The 24035-nt window shown below is 48.8% G+C and overlaps 1 protein-coding gene, 1 long non-coding RNA gene and 1 pseudogene across 5 annotated transcripts in view, besides 10 other annotated features; 1 reads left to right on the plus strand and 2 right to left on the minus strand.

Moving 5' to 3' along the window:
- Positions 1-17186, minus strand: part of RILPL2 (Rab interacting lysosomal protein like 2) — a 27379-nt gene extending 10193 nt beyond the window's left edge. For 3 of the 4 annotated variants that reach the window (XM_011538012.4, XM_047428476.1, NM_145058.3), the window contains exons 1-3: positions 16584-17186; positions 11010-11161; positions 3546-3659 (exon numbers count right to left, since the gene is read on the minus strand). In XM_011538012.4, coding sequence (XP_011536314.1) covers positions 3546-3659; positions 11010-11161; positions 16584-16922 — 605 coding nt within the window. In that variant the 5' untranslated portion in view covers positions 16923-17186. The remainder of the gene's footprint in view (positions 1-3545; positions 3660-11009; positions 11162-16583) is intronic. The other variant, NR_130703.2, reaches the window with a different exon arrangement.
- Positions 7656-7905: an enhancer, noted in NCBI's record as "active region_7263". NCBI's record gives its function as "activates an Ori minimal core promoter by ATAC-STARR-seq in GM12878 lymphoblastoid cells {active_cell/tissue: GM12878}" and the evidence as "EXISTENCE:reporter gene assay evidence [ECO:0000049][PMID:35858748]".
- Positions 7976-8085: an enhancer, noted in NCBI's record as "active region_7264". NCBI's record gives its function as "activates an Ori minimal core promoter by ATAC-STARR-seq in GM12878 lymphoblastoid cells {active_cell/tissue: GM12878}" and the evidence as "EXISTENCE:reporter gene assay evidence [ECO:0000049][PMID:35858748]".
- Positions 8416-8495: an enhancer, noted in NCBI's record as "active region_7265". NCBI's record gives its function as "activates an Ori minimal core promoter by ATAC-STARR-seq in GM12878 lymphoblastoid cells {active_cell/tissue: GM12878}" and the evidence as "EXISTENCE:reporter gene assay evidence [ECO:0000049][PMID:35858748]".
- Positions 8516-8565: an enhancer, noted in NCBI's record as "active region_7266". NCBI's record gives its function as "activates an Ori minimal core promoter by ATAC-STARR-seq in GM12878 lymphoblastoid cells {active_cell/tissue: GM12878}" and the evidence as "EXISTENCE:reporter gene assay evidence [ECO:0000049][PMID:35858748]".
- Positions 11568-11617: an enhancer, noted in NCBI's record as "active region_7267". NCBI's record gives its function as "activates an Ori minimal core promoter by ATAC-STARR-seq in GM12878 lymphoblastoid cells {active_cell/tissue: GM12878}" and the evidence as "EXISTENCE:reporter gene assay evidence [ECO:0000049][PMID:35858748]".
- Positions 11858-12177: an enhancer, noted in NCBI's record as "active region_7268". NCBI's record gives its function as "activates an Ori minimal core promoter by ATAC-STARR-seq in GM12878 lymphoblastoid cells {active_cell/tissue: GM12878}" and the evidence as "EXISTENCE:reporter gene assay evidence [ECO:0000049][PMID:35858748]".
- Positions 16162-17091: an enhancer, noted in NCBI's record as "H3K27ac-H3K4me1 hESC enhancer chr12:123920207-123921136 (GRCh37/hg19 assembly coordinates)". NCBI's record gives its function as "activates a minimal SCP1, AML or CMV promoter by ChIP-STARR-seq in naive H9 embryonic stem cells {active_cell/tissue: H9 hESC(naive)}" and the evidence as "EXISTENCE:reporter gene assay evidence [ECO:0000049][PMID:30033119]".
- Positions 16162-17192: a biological region, named in NCBI's record as "H3K27ac-H3K4me1 hESC enhancer GRCh37_chr12:123920207-123921136".
- Positions 16933-17192: a silencer, noted in NCBI's record as "silent region_5044". NCBI's record gives its function as "represses an Ori minimal core promoter by ATAC-STARR-seq in GM12878 lymphoblastoid cells {active_cell/tissue: GM12878}" and the evidence as "EXISTENCE:reporter gene assay evidence [ECO:0000049][PMID:35858748]".
- Positions 21946-23657, plus strand: LOC124903041 (uncharacterized). The gene is made up of 2 exons (XR_007063502.1): positions 21946-22544; positions 23210-23657. It is a non-coding gene; the product is annotated as an uncharacterized LOC124903041 (long non-coding RNA).
- COPS5P2 (COP9 signalosome subunit 5 pseudogene 2) lies at positions 22017-22360 on the minus strand (annotated as a pseudogene).
- Positions 22191-22490: an enhancer, noted in NCBI's record as "active region_7269". NCBI's record gives its function as "activates an Ori minimal core promoter by ATAC-STARR-seq in GM12878 lymphoblastoid cells {active_cell/tissue: GM12878}" and the evidence as "EXISTENCE:reporter gene assay evidence [ECO:0000049][PMID:35858748]".
- Positions 23658-24035: the final 378 nt, after the last annotated feature.

Consider the following 24035-nt stretch of genomic DNA (forward strand, 5'->3'; position numbering starts at 1 on the left):
CCACGTGGGACAGGGAGAGGTCCTTGGGCATTTCCCACAGCCAGGCTGAAACTGCCTGTTGCTCCAGTTCTATTCTGGTTATCAAGAGGATATTGACTCCCTTTTTTCTTTTTTTTTTTTTTTTTGAGATGGAGTCTTGCTCTATTGCCCAGGCTGGAGTGCAGGGGTGTGATCTCAGCTCACTGCAATATCCTCCTCCCAGGTTCAAGTGATTATTCTACTTCAGCCTCCCGAGTAGCTGAAATTACAGAGGCCATGGCTAATTTTGTATTTTTATTTATTTAATTTTTATTTTTATCTATTTATTTTTTTTCAGACACAGTCTCATTCTGTCGCCCAGGCTGGAGTGCAGTGGTGCGATCTTGGCTCACTGCAACCTCTGCCTCCCAGGTTAAAGCGATTCTCCTGCCTCAGCCTCCCAGGTTAAAGCGATTCTCCTGCCTCAGCCTCCCAAGTAGCTGGGACTATAGGTACACGCCACCACACCCAGCTAATTTTTGTATTTTTAGTAGAGACGGGGTTTCTTTTTTTTTTTTTTTTTTTTGAGACAGAGTCTTGCTCTGTTGCCCAGGCTGGAGTGCAGTGGTGTGATCTTGGCTCACTGCAACATCCGCCTCCTGGGTTCATGCCATTCTCCTGCCTCAGCCTCCTGAGTAGCTGGGATTAAAGGAGCCTGCCACCATGCCTGGCTAATTTTTTTGTATTTTTAGTAGAGACGTGGTTTCACCATGTTAGCCAGGATGGTCTCGATCTCCTGACCTCGTGATCCTCCCGCCTCGGCCTCCCAAAGTGCTGGGATTACAGGCCTGAGCCACTGCGCCTGGCAGAGACGGGGTTTCACCATGTTGGCCAGGATGATCTTGATCTCTTGGCTTGGTGATCCGCCCACCTCGGCCTCCCAAAGTCTTGGGATTACAGGCGTAAGCCACTGTGCCCGGCCTATTTTTATTTTTTTTGAGACAGAGTCTCGTTTTGTTGCCCAGGCTGGAGTGCAGTGGTGCAATCTCAGTTCACTGCAACCTCTGCCTCCTGGGCTCAGGCGATTCTCCTGCCTCAGCCTCCCGAGTAGCTGGGATTACAGGCACCCGCCACCATGCCCGGCTAATTTTTGTATTTTTAGTAGAGACGGGGCTTCACCATGTTGGCTAGGCTGGTCTCGAACTCCTGACCTCAGGTGATCCTCCCACCTCAGCCTCCCGAAGTGCTGGGTTTACAGGCGTCAGCCACTGCGCCCGGTCGAGTTTGACTCTTGATTCCATTTCCTGAGCATCACCATGTGCAGCAGGAAACATTCTGGAAAGGTGTTTTCCCTGCCGTAGATTCCATGTAGCCCAAGATTAGGGGCGAATGCACTTAGGAGGTAAATAGATGCGGCTTCAGGTCTGAGTTCCACCACCACTGACCCGCTGTGTAACCTTTGCAGGTCATTGATCCTCTCTGACTCTCAGTTTGCCCGTCTGTAAAACAGATCTCCTGAGTAGATGTTTACTCAGCTCAGTGTCTGGCACATAGCAAATGCTCACTAAGTGGGAGCTATGTTAAATCTTTTTTTTTTTTTTTTTGAGACAGGGTCTCACTCTGTTGCTCAGACTGGAGTGCAGTGGCACCATCTCGGCTCACCTCAACCTCCGCCTCCCAAGCTCAAGTGATTCTCCTGCTTCAGCTTCCTGAGTAGCTGAGATTAAGGCGAACGCCACTACCACCCAGCTCATTTTTGTATTTTTTAATAGAGTCAGGGTTTCACCATGTTGGCCAGGCTGGTCTCGAACTCATGACCTCAAATGATCCACCCACCTCGGAAGTACTGGGATTACAGGTGTAAGCCACTGCATCTGGCTTAGCTATGGCGAATCTTAAGGTATGGGGAATTATCTTTCCCTTTCCCCAGTCCTACTTCATCTCATCAAATTAAACCCAACAGCCTCTGAGTAATATTGGGAAGAAAACTGCTATTTCCCTGCCCACCATACTGAGCTCACATGAACCACTGCCCCCAGAGGAAGAACCATGACTTTGCTCTCTGGAAGCTACATGCCTGACTGCCTCTTCCTTTGGTTTTTTCCTGCTGGGCCAGAGGTATTCTCCCCTGTGCTCCTGCCCCTTGCCCTCTGCCCCTGCTCCCTTCCAAGCTCCTCAAGGTCCTGTCCCTGAGAAAGAAGGCCTGGGTTATTCCTTTTTTTTTTTTTTTTTTTTGAGTCTCGCTCTGTTGCCCAGGCTAGAGTGCAGTGGCACAATCTCGGCTCACTGCAACCTCCACCTCCCGGGCTCAAGCGATTCTCCTGCCTCAGCCTCCCGAATAGGTGGGATTACAGGCATCTGCCATCACGCCCGGCTAATTTTTGGATTTTTAGTAGAGACGAGGTTTTGCCATGTTGGCCAGGCTGGTCTCGAACTCCTGACCTCAGGTGATCTGCCCGCCTCAGCCTCCCAAAGTGCTGGGATTACAGGAGTAAGCCACCGTGCCTGGTCATCGCTATTATCATTTTTGTTTTCTTTCTTTCTCTCTCTTTTTTTTTTTTTTTGAGATAGGGTCACGCTCTGTTACCCAGGCTGGAGTGCAGTAGCGTGATAATAGTGATAATAGTTTACTGCAGCCTTGAACTCCTGGGCTTAAGTAATCCTCCAGTCTCATCCTCCTGAGTAGCTGGGACCACAGGTGCAGGCCACCACGCCCAGCTAATTTCACTTGATCTCAGCTAAAAGGCCGACAAATGATACCAGCTAATTAAAAAAAAAAAAATTGGCCAGGCGCAGTGGCTCATGCCTGTAATCCCAGCACTTTGGGAGGCTGAGGCAGGTTGGTCACGAGGAGTTCAAGACCAGCCTGTCCAACATGGTGAAACCCCATCTCTACCAAAAATACAAAAATTAGCCAGGCATGGTGGCGCATGCCTGTAATCCCAGCTACTCAGTAGGCTGAGGCAGGAGAACTGCTTGAACCTGGGAGGCAGAGGTTGCAGTGATCCGAGATTGCACCACTGCACTCCAGCCTAGGCGACAGAGTGAGACTTTGTCTCAAAACAAAAAACAAAACGATGTTTTTTCATTGACATGGGGTCTCACTTTGTTGCCCAGGCTAGTCTCAAACTCCTGGCTTCAAATGAATCTCTTGCCTCAGCCTCCTGTAATCACTGTTGAGATTACAGGTGTGAGCCATTGCACCCAGCCTGGTCAAACATCACAGGGAGGCAGTGGAGTGTAGAAGCCAGACTTCCTTGGGTTCCTGACTTCACTATTTACCCTCTGTGAGACCTTGGGCAAGTTACCTTACCTCTCAGTAGCTATTTCTCCATCTGTAAAATAGTATCTACCTTGCAGGGTCACTGTGATGATTCGATGAATTAATATATGCCAAGTGCCTAGGCTACTGCCTGGCAGATATCATTATAATACACTGGCATTGAGTTTTCCCATGGGCTGCAGCACCACAACCGGGAGAGTAGAGGCCCTCCCTGCCCTGGGCAGCTGGTCAGCCTCTTCTTGCCCCCGACTACTTCCTTGAGTTATTATTTGGCGGGACCGGGGGGCAGCAAGGTGACACTTACAGCTTTTTTATGATTGTCTTCTCCTCCTTGTTCCTGCCAGCATTTTTGGCACTAGTAACCACAGCATCTTTTTCTCTTCTTCCTCCTGGGCCTTCTCTTGGTGGAATCAGGCCACTGGGAAACGGGACAAAAAATAAATGGATTATTTTATTACAGATCGTTTTTTTTTTTTTTTTGAGTTGGAGTCTTTCTCTGTTGCCCAGGCTAGAGTGCAGTGGCGCCATCTCAGCTCACTGCAACCTCCGCCTCCCGGGTTCAAGTGATTCTCCTGCCTCTGCCTCCTGAATAGCTAGGACTACAGGCGCCTGCCACCATGCTCGGCTAATTTTTGTATTTTTAGTAGAGATGGGCTTCACCGTGTTGCCCAGGCTGGTCTCAAACTCTTGACCTCAAGTGATCCATCTGCCTCAGACTCCCAAAGTGCTGGGATTACAGGCATGAACCACTGAGCCTGGCTTTTATTACAGACCTCTTATCTGTGCAGCTCTGAAAATAAAGGGTCTTAATGATGATGATGATGATTATGGTAATATTACGGTTGAAAGCACTAGAGTCAGAGAAATTCTGTTTAAAATTAGAATCTTCCCTGTACCTTTCCAATGTGATGCCTCGTTTCTTTTTTTTTTTTGAGACGGATTCTCGCTCTGTTGCCCAGGCTGGAGTGCAGTGGCGCGATCTCGGCTCACTGCAAGCTCCGCCTCCCAGGTTCCCGCCATTCTCTTGCCTCAGCCCCCCGAGTAGCTGGGACTATAGGCGCCCGCCACCACACCCGGCTCATTTTTTGTATTTTTAGTAGAGACAGGGTTTCACTGTGTTAGCCAGGATGGTCTCAATCTCCTGACCCAGTGATCTGCCCGCCTCAGCCTCCCAAAGTGCTGGGATTACAGGTGTGAGCCACCGTGCCTGACCCTCTTGTTTCTTTCTCTTACCTAATTGCATTGGCTACTGCTTCAAGCTTCTCAGTTTTCTAGGAATATGATTGTGTATAAATTCTCTAACTTAAGCCTTGGTTTCCTAACCTATAAAATGAGTCTAATAATAGTACCTACCTCAAAGGATTGAGAGATTATCTAAGATGATACATAGTGCTTAACATTCAACAAATATTTATTAAGCTACCTACTGTGGTTAATAAATATTTTGTCTCTGAACTGTTTTGTCTCTGAACAAAATAGACAAAATATATTCTCTCACGTAATTTATATTCCAGTAGGAGAAGGAAACAGTCAATAAAGAAATAAGTAAAATAAAAGTATAAATTGTAAGTCAGATGTTGATAAGAGTTAGATTTTTTTTTTTTTTTTTTGAGACAGAGTCTTGCTCTGTCGCCCAGACTGGAGTGCAGTGGCACGATCTCGGCTCACCGTAGCCTCTGCCTCCCGGGTTCAAATGATTCTCCTGCCTCAGCCTCCCAAGTAGCTGGGATTACAGGTGTGCACCACCACGCCTGGCTAATTTTGTATTTTTAGCAGAGACAGGGTTTCTCCATGTTGGTCAGGCTGGTCTCAAACTCCCGACCTCAGGTGATCCACCCGCCTTGGCCTCCCAAAGTGTTGGGATTACAGGCATGAGCCACCACACCCAGCCCCTTCCCAATTATGTTACCAAAAAATTTCCTTTTGTGTTTAAGCTAGTTTAAATCGGACTTCTGTCACTTGCAACCATAAGAAGACTGACCAAAATGAAACATTTCAATTACGGCACAGTACAACTCATTACATCCACTTAAGCGTTTTGTTGCAGTGCCCACTGGTAAATTTACCCCCATGGTGTTGTCCCCTTGCTGTGGACTGAATTGTGTGTTTTAATTTTTTTATTTATTTTATTTTTAAAAATTTTCATTTATTTATTTTTTTGAGACAGAGTCTAGCTCTGTCACCCAGGCTGGAGTGGTGGCGCTACCTTGGCTCACTGCAAGCTCCGCCTCCCGGGTTCACGCCATTCTCCTGCCTCAGCCTCTCAAGTAGCTGGGACTACAGGCGTCCGCCACCACGCCCGGCTAATTTTTTGTATTTTTAGTAGAGATAGGATTTCACTGTGTTAGCCAGGATGGTATCAATCTCCTGACCTCGTGATCCGCCCGCCTCTGCCTCCCAAAGTGCTGTACAGGCATAAGCCACTGCGCCCGGCCTTATTATTATTTTTTTTTTGAGATGGAGTTTCACTATTGTTGCCCAGGCTGGAGTGCAATGGTGCAATCTCAACTTGCTGCAACCTCCGTTTCCCAGGTTCAAGCGATTCTCCTGCCTCAGCCTCCCGAGTAGCTGGGATTACAGGTGCCCACCACCACACTTGGCTAATTTTTTTGTATTTTCAGTAGAGACGGGGTTTCACCATGTTGGCCACGCTGGTTTTGAACTCCTGACGTCAAGTGATCTGCCTGCCTCAGCCTCCCAAAATGCTGGGATTACAGGTGTGAGCCATCGTGCCTGGCCGAATTGTGTGTCTTTAATAAAAATTCCTGGCCAGGCTCAGTGGCTCACCATGTATTTCACAGCACCTTGAGCTGACAAAGATACCTCTTTCAGTGTGAGTGTGAAAGGGCAGGATTCATACTTCTCCCTCCTTCTTCATAAAAGAGTTTTGCAAAGAGTGGGCTCTTAATATCTACTTTTTTTTTTTTTTTGAGACAGAGTCTTGCTGTCGCCCAGGCTGGAGTACAGTGGTGCGATCTTGGCTCACTGCAACCTCCACCTCCCTGGTTCAAGCAATTCCCCTGCCCCAGCCTCCAGAGTAGCTGGGATTACAGGTGCACGCCACCATGCCTGGCTAATTTTTTTGTATATTTAGTAGAGATGAGATTTCACCATGTTGGCCAGACTGGTCTCGAACTCCTGACCTCAGGCAATCTGCCTGCCTCGGCCTCCCAAAGTGCTGGGATTACAGGCGTGAGCCACTGTGCTCAGCCATTTCTTAATATTGTTATCAATAATTAAAAAAAATTTTTTTGAGACAGGGTCTTGATCCATTGCCCAGGCTCATCTTGAACTCCTAGGCTCAAGTGTTCCTCCTGTCCCAAACTCCCAAAGTGTTGGGATTACAGGCATGAGCCACCAAACCCGGCCTAAATTTTTGTAATTACAAAATATTATATTATTTATATTCTAATTTTATTTTATTTTTGAGACAGAGTCTCACTCTATCACCCAGGCTGGAGTGCAGTGGCAAAATCTCTGCTCATTGCAACCTCCGCCTCCTGGGTTCAAGTGATTCTTGTGCCTCAGCCTTTTCAGTAGCTGGGATTACAGGTGTGTACCACCACACCCGGCTAATTTTTGTATTTTTAGTATTGACGGAGTTTTGCCATGTTGGCCAGGCTGGTGTTGATTGAACTCCTGACCTCAGGTGATCCACCCACGTTGTCCTCCCAAAGTGTTGGGATTACAGGTGTGAGCCACCTGCCCAGCTGATATTTTATTATAGATACTTATTATAATAATGATTTAACAAGAAGCATCATCTAAAATTTCCATTTTTCCATGATCTATTATTACATAAATTAAACTTGGTGACTAAAAACAGTGGTGACATGATCTCCAATGATGACTCTTTCTTTCTTTCTTTTTTTTCTTTTTTTGAGATGGAGTCTCGCTGTCGCCCAGGCTGGAGTGCAGTGGCGCGATCTCGGCTCACTGCAGGCTCTGCCCCCCGGGGCTCACGCCATCCTCCTGCCTCAGCCTCCCGAGTAGCTGGGACTACAGGTGCCCGCCACCTCGTCTGGCTAATTTTTTTATATTTTTAGTAGAGACGGGGTTTCACTGTGTTAGCCAGGATGGTCTCGATCTCCTGACCTCGTGATCTGCCCACCTCGGCCTCCCAAAGTGCTGGGATTACAGGCGTGAGCCACCGCGGCCAGCCGACTCTTTCTTATAATTGGCTTTCTTTTTTTTTTTTTTTAGATCAGATCTCACTGTGTTGCCCAGGCTGGAGTGCAGTTGCTATTCACGGGTGCAATCACTGCCCACTGAAGCCTCAAATTCCTAGTCTCGTGGGATCCTCCTGCCTCAGCCTCCCAAGTAGCTGAGACTACAGGCACTGAGACTATAGGTGCACACTGCTGTGCCTGGCTTCTTATGGTTGGCTCTGTGGTCCACCTGCTAGCCTGAGCTTCTCACTTGGCTGCGTTCAGTGGGCCATTGGCGGAGGGCTGTGCACAGCTGGGGCTGTCAGCAGGTGCGCCCTGGTTCTCCTTCACATGACCTCTCCATGGGACTTCCCCTTGAGCTTCCTCACAGAATGCTGGTCTCAAGGAAGCATTCTAAGAGCACAGAAACAGAAGAAAGGCCTCTTACCAACTTAACCCCAGAGGCCTAACAGCGTCACTTCCACCCTGTTCTCACAGTCAAAGCAAGTCACAGAGCCAGCCTACATGCAAAGAGAGGGAAAACAGAATCCACCTCTTGATGAAAGGAGTGGCAAAGTTTCATTGCAAAAGGTATGCAGGGTGGGAAATACTGCTGTGGCTCTCTTTGGAAGCAACCTACCATATTTCCCTGGAATTATACTTTTTTTTTTTTGAGATACAGTCTCGCTCTGTCACCCAGGCTGGAGTGCAGTGACACATCTCAGCTCACTGCAACCTGCGCCTCCTGGGTACAAGCAATTCTCCTGCCTCAGCCTCCTGAACAGCTGGGACTACAGGTATGAGTCACCACGCCTGGCTAATAATTTTTATATTTTTAATAGAGACGGAGTTTCACCATGTTGCCCAGGCTGATCTCAAACTCCTGACCTCAGGCAATCTGCCTGCCTCGGCCTCCCAAAGTGCTGGGATTACAGGTGTGAGCCACCTCAACCAGCTGTAATCAATTTATTATCAGTATATTATCTGTGTGAGTTTGGACCTTCAAATGGATGCAGTTGCTATGAGAACATCTCAGCTGGCATGCTGGCTTCTCCACAATATATAACACTAGAGACGAAGCAGAATCCTGCCTCTCTTGGCCTGAGCCAGATGGAAAGTGTGCGTCTCTTGTTCTCTGAGAATTCAAAACTAGAAAGAAAGTGTGTGGTTTTGCCCACTAACAAGCTGCTCACGACACCAGCAGCTTGGCAGTTTCTCTTTTTAACTACCTGTGCCTGAACTACTTATTTTATTCTATTTTTTTTCTGAGATGGAGTCTCGCTCTTCCGCCCAGGCTGGAGTGCAGTGGCGAGATGTCGGCTCGCTGCAAGCTCCACCTCCCAGGTTCACACCATTCTCCTGCCTCAGCCTCCCAAGTAGCTGGGACTACAGGCGCCCGCCACCACGCCTGGCTAATTTTTTGTATTTTTATTAGAGACGGGGTTTCACCGTGTTAGCCAGGCTGGTCTCGATCTCCTGACCTTGTGATCCACCCACCTCGGCCTCCCAAAGTGCTGGGATTACAGGCGTGAGCCACCGCGCCCGGCCCTGAATTACTTACTAAATGAGACAAAGGTCTTTCCATGAACACGGTTCCAACCTCAGCAAAAGGGAGACAATAAATGTGGGTTCTTACAACGCTTCTGCTGTATTGCTGCTCTCTGAAAGATGCTACATTTAAGGCATTTAAAGAATCATATCACTTGGGCTTTGTTTCATTTTTGATCAGGGTATGTCCTTAATTCCAAGCTTTCGTGATCTAAATGCGGCGTGCTAATTACAAGCACAGTCTCTGATGTCACACTGTCTGAGGTCACATCACCACTGTTGCCACCACTGCTTAAGCAGGTGCCCACCACTCTGGTCCTCAGCTCAGCATAGTGATAACATCACTGCTACTCACAGTCTTGCTGTGAGCACTAATTGAAATGATGCTTGGGATACATTTAGCAGACAGAGTGCCTGGCACATGGCGAGTATCAATAAATACTAGCCAACACGACATTTTTATTGCCCTGGTTTTTCCTTCCTCTACCTATAAGAAAACATGCTTCGTTTAACTCAGTGTTTCCCAGAATTATTTGACTACAGAGCCCCCTTTTCAAAAAATACCTAAGTAAAGGAAAACATTTTGGGAAATAGCACAAATGGAAATAGCTACGAGTCTCAACGTGATTATGGCAACAGCTTTTTTATAGCCTCTCTTGCTTGTCCTACAATCTATTTTGTATATGGTACCACTGCAGTCTTTTTTAACTTTCCTTATTTTTTTTTAATTTCTTTTTAGAGACAGGGTCTTGCTATGTTGCCCAGGCTGGCCTTGAATCCCTGGGCTCAAGTGATCCTCCCGCTTCAGGCTCCCTAAGTGCTGGGATGTAACACTGCACCAGGACTTTTTGTTTTTGTTTTTGTTTCGTTTTGTTTTTGAGAAAGAGTTTTGCTCTTTCGCCCAGGCTGCAGTGCAGTGGCACGATCTCGGCTCACTGCAACCTCCGCCTTCTGGTTTCAAGTGATTCTCCTGCCTCAGCCTCCCAGGTAGCTGGGATTACAGGCGCCCGCCACCACACCTGGCTAATTTTTGTATTTTTTAGTAGAGATGGGGTTTCACCATGTTGGCCAGGCTGGTCTCGAACTCCTGACCTCGTGATCTGCCCGCCTCGGCCTCCCAAGGTGCTGGGATTACAGACGTGCCACCATCCCCAGTCGTTTTTATTTTGTTTTGTTTCGTTTTTTTTTTGAGACACAGTCTTGCTCTGTCACCTAGGCTGGAGTGCAGAGGCGTGATCTCGGCTCATTGCAACTTCTGCCTCCTAGGTTCAAGTGATTCTCCTGCCTCAGCCTCCCGAGTAGCTGGGACTATAGGCATGAGCCACCATGCCCAGCTAATTTTTGTATTTTTAATGGAGACTGGCCTCTTGTCATTCTCTTGATCAAAACTTTCCAATGGCCAGGTGTGGTGGCTCACACCTGTAATCCCAGCACTTTGGGGAGGCTGAGGCAGGTGGATCACTTGAGCCCAAGAGTTTGACACTAACCTGGGCAACATGGCGAGACCCTGTCTCTACAAAAAATAAGAAAATTAGCTGGGCATGGTGGCATGCACCTGTGGTCTCAGCTACTTGGGTGGCTAAGGTGGGAGAATCGCTTGAACCCATGAGACAGAGGTTGCAGTGAGCCAAGATCGCACCACTGGGCGACAGGGTGAGACCCTCAAAAAAAAAAAAAAAAAAAAAAAAAAAAAGCCAGGCTTGGTGGCTCATGCCTGTAATCCCGGCACTTTGGGAGGCCAAGGTGGGCAGATCAGGAGGTCAGGAGATCGAGACCATTCTGCCTAACACGGTGAAACTCCGTTTCTACTAAAAATACAAAAAATTAGCCAGGCACGGTGGCGGGCGCCTGTAGTCCCAGCTACTCGGGAGGCTGAGGCAGGAGAATGGCGTGAACCCGGGAGGCAGAGGTTGCAGTGAGCCGAGATCGCGCCACTGCACTCCAGCCTGGGCGACAGAGCGAGACTCTGTCTCAAAAAAACAAAAACAAAACAAAACAAAAACAAATATGTAACCTAGCAAGGAATTCTGGGCCAGGTCTGGGTGCAGGACCCTCCAGGCAGTGGAGCCCACCTCTTGTAGCACTGCAGCTCTTCCTGCACCACCAGGAGCTGCGACTTGAGTTTGTTGCGTTCCTGCAGCACATCCCTTAGCTCCTGCAGAGTGAAGCGGGGTCGGTTGGGATCTGTCAGGTCAACCACCATTTTGTTTGGGCCCAGGTTCACCTGGAAGAAAAGACGCAACCTTTGCAAGCAACTCTATATAATTAAATTATTATTATTATTATTATATTTTTAGAAGGAGTCTCTGTTGCCCAGGCTGGAGTGCCATGGCACAATCTTGGCTCCCTGCAACTTCGGGCTCCCAGGTTCAAGCGATTCTCCTGCCTGGGTCACTGGGATTACAGGCGCCCGCCATCACGCCCGGCTAATTTTTGTATTTTTATTAGAGATGGGGTTTTGCCTTGTTGGCCAAGCTGGTCTCAAACTCCTGACCTCTGGTGATCTGCCTGCCTCGGCCTCCCAAAGTGCTGGGATTACAGGCGTGAGCCACCGCGCCCGGCCTACGCCTGGCTAATTTTGTATTTTCAGTAGAGATGGAGTTTCGCCATGTTGTCCAGGCTGGTCTTCAACTCCTGGCTTCATGTGATCCGCCTGCCTCAGCCTCTCACCACAGCAGCTCTATTTACAGCAGCCAAGGGGTAGTAGCAGTAACCCAAGTGTCCATGAACAAATGAATAGATAAAGAAAGTATAGTATATGCCTCCAACAGAATATTATTCGGCCTTCAAAGGCAAGGAAATTCTGACATGTGCCACAACATGAATCAATCTTGAGGACATTGTGCTGAGTGAAATAAGCCAGGCACTTAAGACAAATATATGATTTCACGATATGAACAACCTACAATAGGTAGATTCAGAGGGACAGAAAGTAGAAAAGTAGTTACTGGGGGGCCGGGGGAGGGGAAGGAGACGTTGTTACTTAACAGGTCAGAGTTTCAGTTTTGCAAGATGAAGAGAGTTCTGGAGACGGATGGTGGTGATGGCTGCACAACAGCGTGAATGGACATGCAGCTGAACTGTACACTTAAAAATAGTTAAGATGGGCCGGGCACGGTGGCTCACGCCTGTTATCCCAGCACTTTGGGAGGCCGAGGCGGGCGGATCACCAGGTCAGGAGACAGAGACCATCCTGGCTAACGCGGTGAAACCCCGTCTCTACTAAAAAAATACAAAAAAGTTAGCCAGGCGTGGTGGCAGGCGCCTGTAGTCCCAGCTACTCAGGAGGCTGAGGCAGGAGAACGGTGTGAACCTGGGAGACGGAGCTTGCAGTGAGCTGAGGTCCCACCACTGCACTCCAGCCTGGGCGACAGAGCGAAACTCCATCTCAAAAAAAAAAAAAAAATTTAAGATGGTAAATTTTATGTTACTGTATTTTACTACAATTTATTTTATTTTATTTTATTTTTTTCTTTTGAGACAGAGTCTTGCTCTGTTGCCCAGGCTGGAGTGCGGTGGCATGATCTCAGCTCACTGCAACCTCTGTCTCCCAGGTTTAAGCAATTCTTCTGCCTCAGCCTCCCTAGTAGCTGGGATTACAGGCGCCTGCCACCAAGCCCAGCTAATTTTTTGTATTTTTAGTAGAAACAGGGTTTCACCATGTTGGCCAGGCTGGTCTTGAACTCTGACCTCAGGTGACCTGCGCCCACCTCGGCCTCCCAAAGTGCTGGGATTACAGGCATAAGCCACCACGCCCAGCTTTACTACAATTTAAAAAACCAAAAAGGGGTCAGGAATAGTGGCTCACGCCTGTAACCCCAGAACTCTGGGAGGCTAGAGCGGGTGGATCGTTTGAGCCCAGGAGTTTGAGACCAGCCTGGACAACATGGGAAACCTCATCTCTAGAAAAAACACAAAAATTAGGTGGCCATAGTAGCACATGCTTATAGTCTCAGCTACTAGGGAGGCTGAGGTGGGAGGATCACCTGAGCCCAGGGAGGCTGAAACTGCAGTGAGCAGTGTTCAAACCACTGCACGCCAGCCTGGGTGACAAAGTGAGACCCTGTCTCAAAACATACAAAGAAAAAAAACAAGGCATATTTTTGTAAACTGTCTAGTGGCACTAAACGTTCATTTTCTTAATTCATGCATTTTCCCTATCCCTGTTCTTAAGGCTGCGGTTTGAGAAGAAAATATGCCATCTCATCTGCCGCCTGATGAAACTTGTCCACTTTGCCCCATATGGGAAACTACCCAGCCCCTGTGCACACCACGCTGTTCTCGGCTCATAATGGGGACTTCCTCCATATCCTTGTGCCCGGAGAGGGAGGCAAAAATAACACAGAATGTGGCTGAGCAATCCCCCGCAAGTCAGTTAACTTTCCTTGACTCTCAAAAGCCAGGCTACAAGTCATCACACTTAACCATGTCACTTGACAGACACTAAAGTAGAATATTATCTAGAAATACAATTGTCACTATCACTTAGGAATAGGTGAAATAAATTACCAGGGGTCAGAGAAGGTATGAGGCAAATAATAATAATAATTAAGAAGAAGAAGAAGAAGAAGAAAGTTACCAGGGAAGCTACAGGGAAACTTCATACTTCCATGTGAATTTCAGTGACTCTGTTCCTGTTCTTTCCTGGCTTACTTCTTGGTTTGTATACTTTTTTTTTTTTTTTTTTGAGACGAAGTCGTCTCGCTCTGTTGCCAGGCTAGAATGCAGCAGCGTGATCTCAGCTCAATGCAACCTCTGCCTCCCGGGTTCAAGCAATTCTCTTGCCTTAGCCTCCCGAGTAGCTGGGACTACAGGCACGTGCCACCGTGCCCAGCTAATTTTTGTATTTTTAGTAGACACGGGGTATGTTGGCCAGGATGGTCTCAATCTCTTGACTTCCTGATCCACCTGCCTTGGCCTCCCAAAGTGTTGGGATTACAGGCGTGAGCCACTGCGCCCAGCCTTGGTTTGTATACTTGGTGTTTGTTTGTTTGTTTTTGAGACAGTCTTGCTCTGTTGCCCCAGCTGGAGTGCAGTGGCACGATCTTGGCTCACTGCAACCTCTGCCACCCGGGTTCAAGTGATTCTTGTGCCTCAGCCTCCGAGTAGCTGGATTACAAGCGTGTGCCAGCAGGTCCAGCTAATTTTGTATTTTTAGTAGAGACAGGGTTTCACCAGTTTGCCCAGGCTGGTCCCAAACTCCTGGCCTCAAGCGATCTGCCTGCCTCGACCTCCCAAAGTGTTGGGATTACAGGTGTGAGCCACCGCGCCTGGCCTGGTTTGTATACTTGTATTCTGGTTCTAGGACTGTGTGTCTGACCTCTCCCACTAGATGTGAGCTTCTTGAGGGCAGGGACCTTGTCTACGTTATCTCCATAGCCCCAGAGCCTAGCATCAGTCACTGCAGTCACTCATCAAATGTTAGTACAAGTAAGGTCAAATGTCTGTATTTTAGGATGGAGTATTTAGGACTAGCATCTCTGAATTAAGATCCTGACTTCACCTCTTAACTTGCCGTGAAGTCCTTAGGTAAATTACTTAACTGTTCTGTGCCTCAGTTTTGTAAAACAATAATAGTCTGAGGATTAAAAAAGACATCGTCCACTTACAGCAGCTTTTTTGTTTTTCTTTTTTAACTGTGGCTGGAGACCTGCTAGTAGGTCATAAAATTAATGAGTTTCGACAAGAATTTTAAAAACTAGGCTGGGCATGGTGGCTCAGGCCTGTAATCCCAGCACTTTGGGAGGCTGAGGTGGGCGTATCACTTAAGCCCAGGAGTTCGAGACCAGCCTGGGCAACATGGTGAGACCCCCATCTCTACAAAAATACAAAAATTAGCCAGGTGGTTGGTGTGTGCCTGTAGTCCTAGCTACTGGAGAGGCTGAAGTGGGAGGACTGCTTGAGCCCAGGAGTTTGAGGCCTCAGTGAGCTGTGATCACACCATGGTATTCCAGCCTGGATGACAGAGAAAGCTGTCCCCGCAAAAAAGACTTTTTTTTTTTTTTTGAGACAAAATCTCGCTCTGTCACCCAACCTGGAGTGCAGTGGCGCGATCTCGGCTCACTGCAACCTCTGCCTTCCGGTTTCAAGCAATTCTCCGGCCTCAGCCTCCCGAGTAGCTGGGATTACAGGCACCCGCCACCACGCCCGGCTAATTTTTTTCTGTAGTTTTAGTAGAGATAGAGTTTCACCATGTTGGCCAGGCTGGTCTCAAATTCCTGACCTTGTGATCTGCCCGCCTTGGCCTCCCAAAGTGCTGGGATTACAGGCGTGAGTCACAGCACCCAGCCAGATGATTTTTAACATATGTGTAGATCCCTATATCCATACCCTGATTAAGATATGGGACACTTCTAGCTCTCTATCAATTTCCCTTCTTTTCCCCCCACCACCAGTTTGCCTTCTATAACTATAAATTATTTTGCCTGTTCATGAATTTTATTTAAATGTACAGTAGGGCTGGGTGCTGTGGCTCAGGCCTGTAATCCCAGCACTTTGGAAGGCTGAGGTGGGTGGGTCACTTGAGGCCAGGAGTTTGAGACCAGCCTGGCCAACATGGTGAAACCCCGTCTCTACCAAAAAAGAAAAAAAAAAAATAGCCACGCGTGGTGGCACACGCTTGCAATCCCAGCTGCTCAGGAGGCTGAGGCAGGAGAATCGCTTGAATCCAGGAGGTGGAGGTTGCAGTGAGTCGAGGTCACGCCACTGCACTACAGTCTGAGCAACAGAGCAAGATTCTGACTCAAAAAAAAAAAAAATCTACAGTAGTTTCTCTTTAGTGCCTGGCTTCTTTCTCTCAATGTTACATCTGTGAGATTCATTCACACTGCTGTGTGTATCAGCACCCCGTTCTTTTTCTCTGTTGCATAGTATTCCATATATCACAATTTCAAAACTCAATTGGGTTGCATTTAGAGTGTTTCCAGTTTGGCAGCTGAGACTAAAGCTGCTCTGAATCTTCTTGTCTATGTCTTTTTGTGGTCATATGCACTAATTTCTCTTTAGGTAAAATGTGTTTCTTGTCCAAGTGTGGTGGCTCACATCCACAAGCCCAGCACTTTGGGAGGCCAAGGTGGGAGGATTCCTTGAGCTTAGGAGTTTGAGACCAGCCTGGGTAACGGTGAGACCCCCATCTCTACAAAACATCAAAAAAGTTAGCCAGGCATGGTGGCACATGCCTGTACTCCCAGCTACTTGGAAGGGCAAGGCAGGAGAATTGCTTGAGCCTAGGAGGCCAAGGCTGTAGTGAGCCGTGTTTGCACCACTGCACTCTAGCCTGGGAGATAGAGCAGGACCCTGTGTCAAAAGAAAAAAAAAGTGTTTCTTGCTCTAGGTCAAAGGTTCTCAAACTGTGGACCCTGGGCCAATAGCATCAGCATTAACTGCGAACTCGTTAGAAATACAGATTCTGGCCAGGCAGGGTGGCTCACACCTGTAAACCCAGCACTCTAGGAGGCTGAGGCTGGGGGATCACTTGGAGCCAGGAGTTTGAGACCAGCCTGGGCAACACAGCGAGATCCCATCTCTTAAAAAAAGAAAAAAGAGAAAAGAGAAGAGAAAAGAAAAGGAAGGCGTCTCCCTGCCAGTAGGTGCCCTCCTACGCCCCGCAGGCGCCGTGGGCCCGGAACCCTCGCTCCCACACTCACCTCCCCGCTGGCCGGAGGGCTCTGTCTCCGCAGCCCCTCCACCTCCTTCCTGAGGTGGTCCCTCTCCATCTTCAGCTCCTCCAGCGCCAGGCTGCCCTCATTCACCAGCGCCTCCAGCATCTCCAGGACGCGGACGACTTTGAACTGCAGCTGCGTCACCCGGGGGTCGCTGCCCAGGGCCATAAGCTCGCGGCCCAACAGGTAGGAGATGTCATACACGTCCTCGGCGGTCAGCTGGAAGGGGCTCTTGCCCAGCGCCCCCTCGGGCCCAACCTCGTCCCTCTCCTCGTCCTCCTCTCCCTCCTCCTCTTCCTCTTCTCGCACAGGGGGCTCCTCCATGGCCACCCAGACCCCCGCCGACCTCGGAGCTGCTGTCTTGGAGTCTCCCAAAGGTTAGACTTCCTCCCGGCACCCAAAACTTTCCGCTGGGCAGAGTCCCTACCTGCCCAATCAGCGCGGCCCGGGGGTGGGCCCGGGGGGATGGTGCAAGGGGCCGCGCACGCGACTCTTGGGCCTGCGCCCCGGCGCACCGTCCCCGCTGCCAGCCACGCTGGAGAGTGCGCTCCAGGATGTGGTTTGGGGCGCGAAGGGACAACGGAAAAGGAGGCAGCCGAGAAGAGGAACGGGGAAGTTCAGGGGTGACGGCAATCGCCCCAGCCTGGGAACAGTTGCAGCCCCGGGGAGGAGCCGCCCTGAGCCCCGCCCCTGGCGACCGCTGCCAGGAGGTGCGTTTCCGTGGAGACGGAGTTTCCACCGTGCAATCCAGAGCGGGGTAAAAAGAACGCAACTTTTTCCTTTCCACCCTCGTGCTTTCCAGCCGTAGAATTTGCATCGTAGGTGATGGAAGATCCGGGTGTCTCTTTGAGGGTGTTTTCTGGAGCCTGCGGCCAAACAGAAAGCAGCTGCTGGGGGCAGCGCGACAGAGTCCCCGAGGCTTGAGGATCTGGAAAACTCCCAGGCAAATTGTCACTAGGGCCTGGGGCGTCCGACTTCGCTGTGACTCTCAATAAAATGGAGAATGTCTGCCCTGCTCACTTCGCTGGGTCCTCGGCTCCTCCACGTAACCAGCGCTGTCACCTTGGCAAGTTACTTAACGTCTCCGAGCCTCAGTCTCCTCCTCTGTAAAATGGGGACAATAGCGGGACCCAGGTGGCAGGGTTGCTGCGAGGAACATGAGCTTATGAGATCATGTGTGCGACACCTCAAGCACTTAGGAAGCACTCACATACGTGACTGCAATCCTTCATTCTTTCTTTCTTTCTTTCTTTCTTTTTTTTTTTGAGACGGAGTCTCCCTGTGTCGCCCAGGCTGGAGTGCAGTGGCGCGATCTCGGCTTGCTGCAAGCTCCGCCTCCCAGGTTCACGCCATTCTCCTGCCTCAGCCTCCCGAGTAGCTGGGACTACAGGCACGCGCCACCACGCCCGGCTAATTTTTTTGTATTTTTAGTAGAGACGGGGTTTCACCATGTTCGCCAGGATGGTCTCGATCTCCTGACCTCGTGATCCACCTGCCTCGGCCTCCCAAAGTGCTGGGATTACAGGCGTGAGCCACCGCGCCCGGCCCCTTCATTCTTTCTTCCACAGCGCTAGGGAGGAATTGCTGGTGTTGGAGACACCTTGCTACTTGGGTGAGAGAAGGAGGAGTAATTAACAAGAGAGAAACCCCTGTCTGAAAATCACAAAGCATTCGACACATATGCGGAATCCATATTACTGAGAATATTAGCAGAGTGGCGTAGAAACTTGAGTCATTCGCTGTGGCTCATGCCTTAATCTCAACACTTCAGGAGGCTGACGCAGGAGGATTGCTTGAGCCCAGGAATTTGAGACTAGCTTGGGCATCATAGTGAGACCCTGTCTCTACAAAAAGTAAACAAAAGTAGCTGGACACAGTGGTTCATGCCTGTAGTGGCAGGTACTCGGGAGGCTGAGGTGGGAGGACCACTTGAGCCCGGGATGTTGAGGCTGCAGTGAGCCAAGATCTCACCACAGAGTGGTGCCTGTGACAGAGTGGGACCATGGTGACAGAGTAAGATCATGTCTCAAAAAAAAAGGCACAACAAATCTCAAGTTATTTTAGGTTTCACTGGAGGTTTGTGATAGTCTCAGGCAGAAAGCTCAGCAACGGGGCTTGTCTTTCCCAGGAATGTATTGGCAGCTTTCCTTGTGATAGGTGTATCCATTTTCTCCACACTGAGGTACTAGAATCTCAATGGAGAATGTACATAGATTAAACCAACCAACAAAAGCAAAGCAAATTAACAAAACACACTATTTTCAGAGGGTCGTTTCTTTTTATTTTATTTTATTTTATTTTATTTATTTGTTTATTTATTTATTTAGAGACAGAATCTTGCTCTGTTGCCCAGGCTGGAGCTCAGTGGCATGATCTCGGCTCACCGCAACCTCCGCCTCCCTGGTTAAAGCAATTCTTCTACCTCAGCCTCCCCAGTAGCTGGGACCACAGGCGCATGCCGCCCCGCCTGGCTAATTTTTTGTATTTTAGTAGAGATGGGGTTTCACTGTGCTGCCCAGGCTGGTCGCGAACTCCTGAGCTCGGGCAATCCTCCCACCTGGGCCTCCCAAAGTGCTAGGATTACGGGCGTAAGCCACCCTGCCTGGCCTATTTTACTTTTATAAAATAAAAAAGTCAGGCCGAGATGGGCGGATCACGAGGTCAGGAGACCGAGACCATCCTGGCTAACACGGTGAAACCCTGTCTCTACTAAAAATACAAAAAAAATTAGCCGGGTGTAGTGGCGGGCGCCTGTAGTCCCAGCTACTCGGGAGGCTGAGGCAGGAGAATGGCGTGAACCCGGGGACAGAGCTTGCAGTGAGCCGAGATCGCGCCACTGCACTCCAGCCTGGGCAACAGAGCAAGACTCGGTCTCAAAAAAAATAAATAAAAATAAATAAATAAATAAATAATAAATAATAAAAAAATAAAATAAATAAAAAAGCCTCACTCTGTTGCCTAGGTTGGAGTGCAGTGACACGATCTCGGCTCACTGCAACCTCTGCCTTCCAGGTTCAAGCGATTCTCCTGCCTCAGCAGCCCCACCCCGAGTAGCTGGGATTACAGGCACGCGCCACCATGCATGGCTAATTTTTTGTATTTTTAGTAGAGACGGGATTTTACCATGTTGCCCAGGCTGGTCTCCAACTCCTGACCTCAGGATGATCCACCTGCCTCAGCCTCCCAAAGTGCTGGGATTACAGGCATGAGCCACCATGCTTAGCCTTTCTTCTTCTTCTTTTTTTTTTTTTTTGAGATGGAGTTTTGCTCTTGTAGCCCAGGCTGGAGTGCAGTGGCATGATCTCTGCTCATTGCAACCTCTGCCTCCTGGGTTCAAGCGATTCTCCTGCCTCAGCCTTGCAAGTAGCTGGGATTATAGGCGCCCACCACCACACCCAGCTAAGTTTTGTATTTTTAGTAGAGACAGGGTTTCACCCTGTTGGCCAGGATGGTCTCCAACTCCTGACCTCAGGTGATCTGCCCGCCTCTCCCTCCCAAAGTGCTGGGATTACAGGCATGAGCCCAGCCTATTTTTTCTTAAGAGATGAGGCTTTGCTCTGTCACCCCAGCTGGAGTGCAGTGGCATGATCACAGCTCACTGCAGCCTTGAACTCCTGGGCTTAAGTGATCCTCCCACCTCAGCCTCCTGAGTAGCTGGGCCTACAGGTGCTTGCCACCATACCTGGCTAATTTTTTTTTTTTTTTTTTTTTTTTTGAGACAGAGTCTTGCTCTGTTGCCCAGGCTGGAGTGCAGTGGTGCAATCTCGGCTCACTGCAAGCTCCGCCTCCCGGGTTCATGCCATTCTCCTGCCTCAGCCTCCGAAGTAGCTGGGACTACAGGCGCCCGCCACCACGCCCGGCTAATTTTTTGTATGTTTTAGTAGAGACAGGGTTTCACCATGTTAGCCAGGATGGTCTCGATCTCCTGACCCCGTGATCCGCCTGCCTTGGCCTCCCAAAGTGCTGGGATTACAGGCATGAGCCACCGCACCCTGCCTTTCTTTCTTTTTTTTTTTTAAGAGACAAGGCCTCGTTCTGTCGCCCTGGCTGGTCTCAAAATCCTGGCCTCAAGTAATCCTCCCACTTTGGCCTCCCAAAGTGCGAGGATTACAGGAATAAGCCACTGTGCCCCGCCAGGAATGTTGTAATAATCAAAACGAAGCTCCTGGGCAAGGGCCTAGAAGTCCACAAATCACAGAGTGACAACATCTAGTGGTTAAATACTGAGATGAAATATTAGGCCTGCCATACATAAAAGAGGGTATGCCCATCCAATAGAATAGTATTCAGCCATAACAAAGAATGAAAAATAAAATAGCTCGTAAATAAATTGTTGCATATATTGGCAAATGATTTTCAATAAGGGAGCCAAGACCATTCAATGGGGCAAGGACAGTCTTTTCAACCAATGGAGTTCACCATATACAAAAAATTAACTCAAAGTGCATCTAAGGGCCATCACAGTGGCCAGGAGTTGGAGAACAGTCTGGGCAATACAGTGAGAACAATCTCTACAAAAAGTAAAAATGGAGCCAGGTGCCGTGGCTCACGCCTGTAATCCCAACACTTTGGGAGATGGAGGTGGGCAGATCACTTGAGGTCAGGAGTTCGAGACCAGCCTGGCCAACCTGGTGATGGAGAATGGAGAGTTGTCGTTTAATGGGGATAGAGTTTCAGTTTTGCAAGATCAGAAAGTTCTGGAGATTGGCTGCACGTGAGCCACTGTGCCCGGTCAAGAGATGTTAATTTTGAGGGGCCTGGTGGCTCATGCCTGTAATCCCACAGCACATTGGGAGGCTTACGCCTGATGATTATTTGAGGCCAGGAGTTCCAGACCAGCCTAGGCAACAAAGTGAGATCCCATCTCTACAAAAAAACAAAAACAAACAAACAAAAACAAAATTATCTTGGTGTGATGGTGCGTACCTGTGGTCCCAGCTACTTGGGAAGCTGGGGCGGGAGAATCACTTGAGCCCAAGAGTTCCAGGCTGCAGTGACCTGTGATCATGCCACTGCACTGTAGTCTGAGCAACAGAGCAAGACTCAGTCTCAAGAAAAAAAAATTTAAATAAATAAATAAGTAAAATAAAGCTGGGTGTAGTGGCTCATGCCTGTAATCCCAGCACTTTGGGAGGCCGAGGTGGGTGGATTGCTTGAGGCCAGGAGTTTGAGACCAGCCTGGCCAACATGGTGAAATTCTGTCTTTACCAAAAATACAAAAATTAGTGGGGCATTGTGCTAGGCACCTGTAATCCCAGTTACTTGGGAAGCTGAGGTGCAAGAATCACTTGAACCTGGAAGGGGGAGGTTGCAGTGAGCCAAGATCGTGCCACTGCACTCTAGCCTGGGTGACAGAGCAAGACTCAGTCTCGAAAAAAAATAAAATAAATAAAATAAATACATAAATACATAAAATAAAGAGGTATGAATTTGATTAAACAGTTTATCTTGAATAACCTAGACATGAGTCCACAGATGGCTTCTATGGTTTCATAGGTGTCTCTCATAGCTTCGGTGAGTTTGTCTTCTGACTTTCAGTCATGTGCTTCTAAACTCAACATGAAACTCCCTCTTCCCAGCTGCGCTTCTGACTGCCCTAACTTTTCAGACAAATCAAAGACCCAACCAGTGCTATAGTCTGCATTGGTAAGCCTGCTCGAGGAACTCCGTGTATTCGCCCAGGATTTAGTCCACGAACGCTCAAGCAATTTGCAATCCAAAGAAGATTTGAAATATGAGACTTCTGAGGCATCATATGCTCACCAGTTTATGATAAAGGATGTTTCAGAGGATACAGATGAAAGTGAAGAATGGGGGGAGGGGGCAGAGCTCCCACGCCCTCCCTGGGGCAGTGCCCTCCAGGAACCTCCAGTGTTCAGCTGTACTGAAGCTCGAAAAATGTGCTGTATCTTGCTCTTGGTGGAGGTCACGTGAGTATACACGAAGGTAAAAAGTTGAGGTTGGGCAGGGTAGCTCCCGCCTGTAATCCCAGCATTTTGGGAAGTTGAGGTGGGAGGATCGTTTCAGCCCAGGAGTTCAAGACCAGCTTGGGCAACATAGTGAGATCTTGTCTGTATAAATAATTAAACAATTAGGCGGGTGTGTTGGTGTGCACTGGTGGTTCCATCCATTTGAGGCCAAGGTGGGAGAATTGCTTGAGCCCAGGAGGCTGGGGGTGCAGTGAGCTGTGATGGAGCCACCGCACTCCAGCCTGGGTGACAAAGCGAGACTATCTCTAAACAAATAGCAGGGCGCAGTGGCTCACACCTGTAATCCCAGCACTTTGGGAGGCCGAGGCGGGCGGATCACAAGGTCAGGAGATCGAGACCATCCTGGCTAACACGGTGAAACCCCGTCTCCGCTAAAAACACAAAAAATTAGCCGGGCGTGGCGGCGGGCGCCTGTAGTCCCAGCTATTCAGGAGGCTGAGACAGGAGAATGGCGTGAACCCGGGAGGCGGAGCTTGCAGTGAGCCGAGATCGCGCCACTGCACTCCAGCCTGGGCCAGAGCGAGACTCCATCTCAAAAATAAACAAACAAACAAACAAACAAATTATAAATAAATAACAAAAAGCTGTGGAACCATTCACTTATCTGTGCATTTCCTTTAGGTAAATTACGTCTCAATAAAGTGCTGGGGAGAAAGCAATGAAGCACTGACATACGCTACACCAAGGATGAACCTCGAAAACATCATGCTGAGTGAAAGAAGCCAGACACAAAAGGCCGCACAGTGTATGATTCTATTTACATGTAATGTCCAGAATAGGTAAATCCATAGAGACAGAGTAGATTCGTCCCCAGTCTAGCCTCATTCTAGGGCTGGGAAAAATGGGAAGTGACTACCTCTGTGTATGGGGTTTCTTTTGCGGGGGGATCACAATGTACTAAAATTAGATTGTGGTGATGGTTGCACAACTCTGAATATACTAAAAACCACTGAACTGTATATTTTAAACAGGTTGATTTTATATGTACATAATGCTCAATTCTGTTGAGTAGAATTAGCCTTCCTAGAACAATGCCATCAGGAAGAATTAAAAGTGAGTTTCAGCTGGGCACAGTGGCTCATGCCTGTAATCCCAGCACGTCGGGAGGCCGAGGCGGGTGGATCATGAGGTCAGGAGTTTGAGACCAGCTGGGCCAACATGGTGAAACCCCGTCTCTACTAAAGACACAAAAAATTAGCTGGGTGTGGTGGCCAGTGCGCTTATAATCCCAGCTACTCAGGAGGCTGGGGCAGGAGAATCGCTTGAACTTGGGAGGCGGAGGTTACAGTGAGCTGAGATCGCACCATTGCACTCCAGCCTGGGCGACATGGCTAGACTCTGTCTCAAAAAAAAAAGTTTCTTCTAACTTTCTTTCTTTTTTTTTGAGACGGAGTCTCGCTCTGTTGCCCAGGCTGGAGTGCAATGGTGCGATCTCAGCTCACTGTAA

Source organism: Homo sapiens, chromosome 12 (assembly GCF_000001405.40).
Source record: "Homo sapiens chromosome 12, GRCh38.p14 Primary Assembly".
Taxonomy (NCBI): domain Eukaryota; kingdom Metazoa; phylum Chordata; class Mammalia; order Primates; family Hominidae; genus Homo; species Homo sapiens.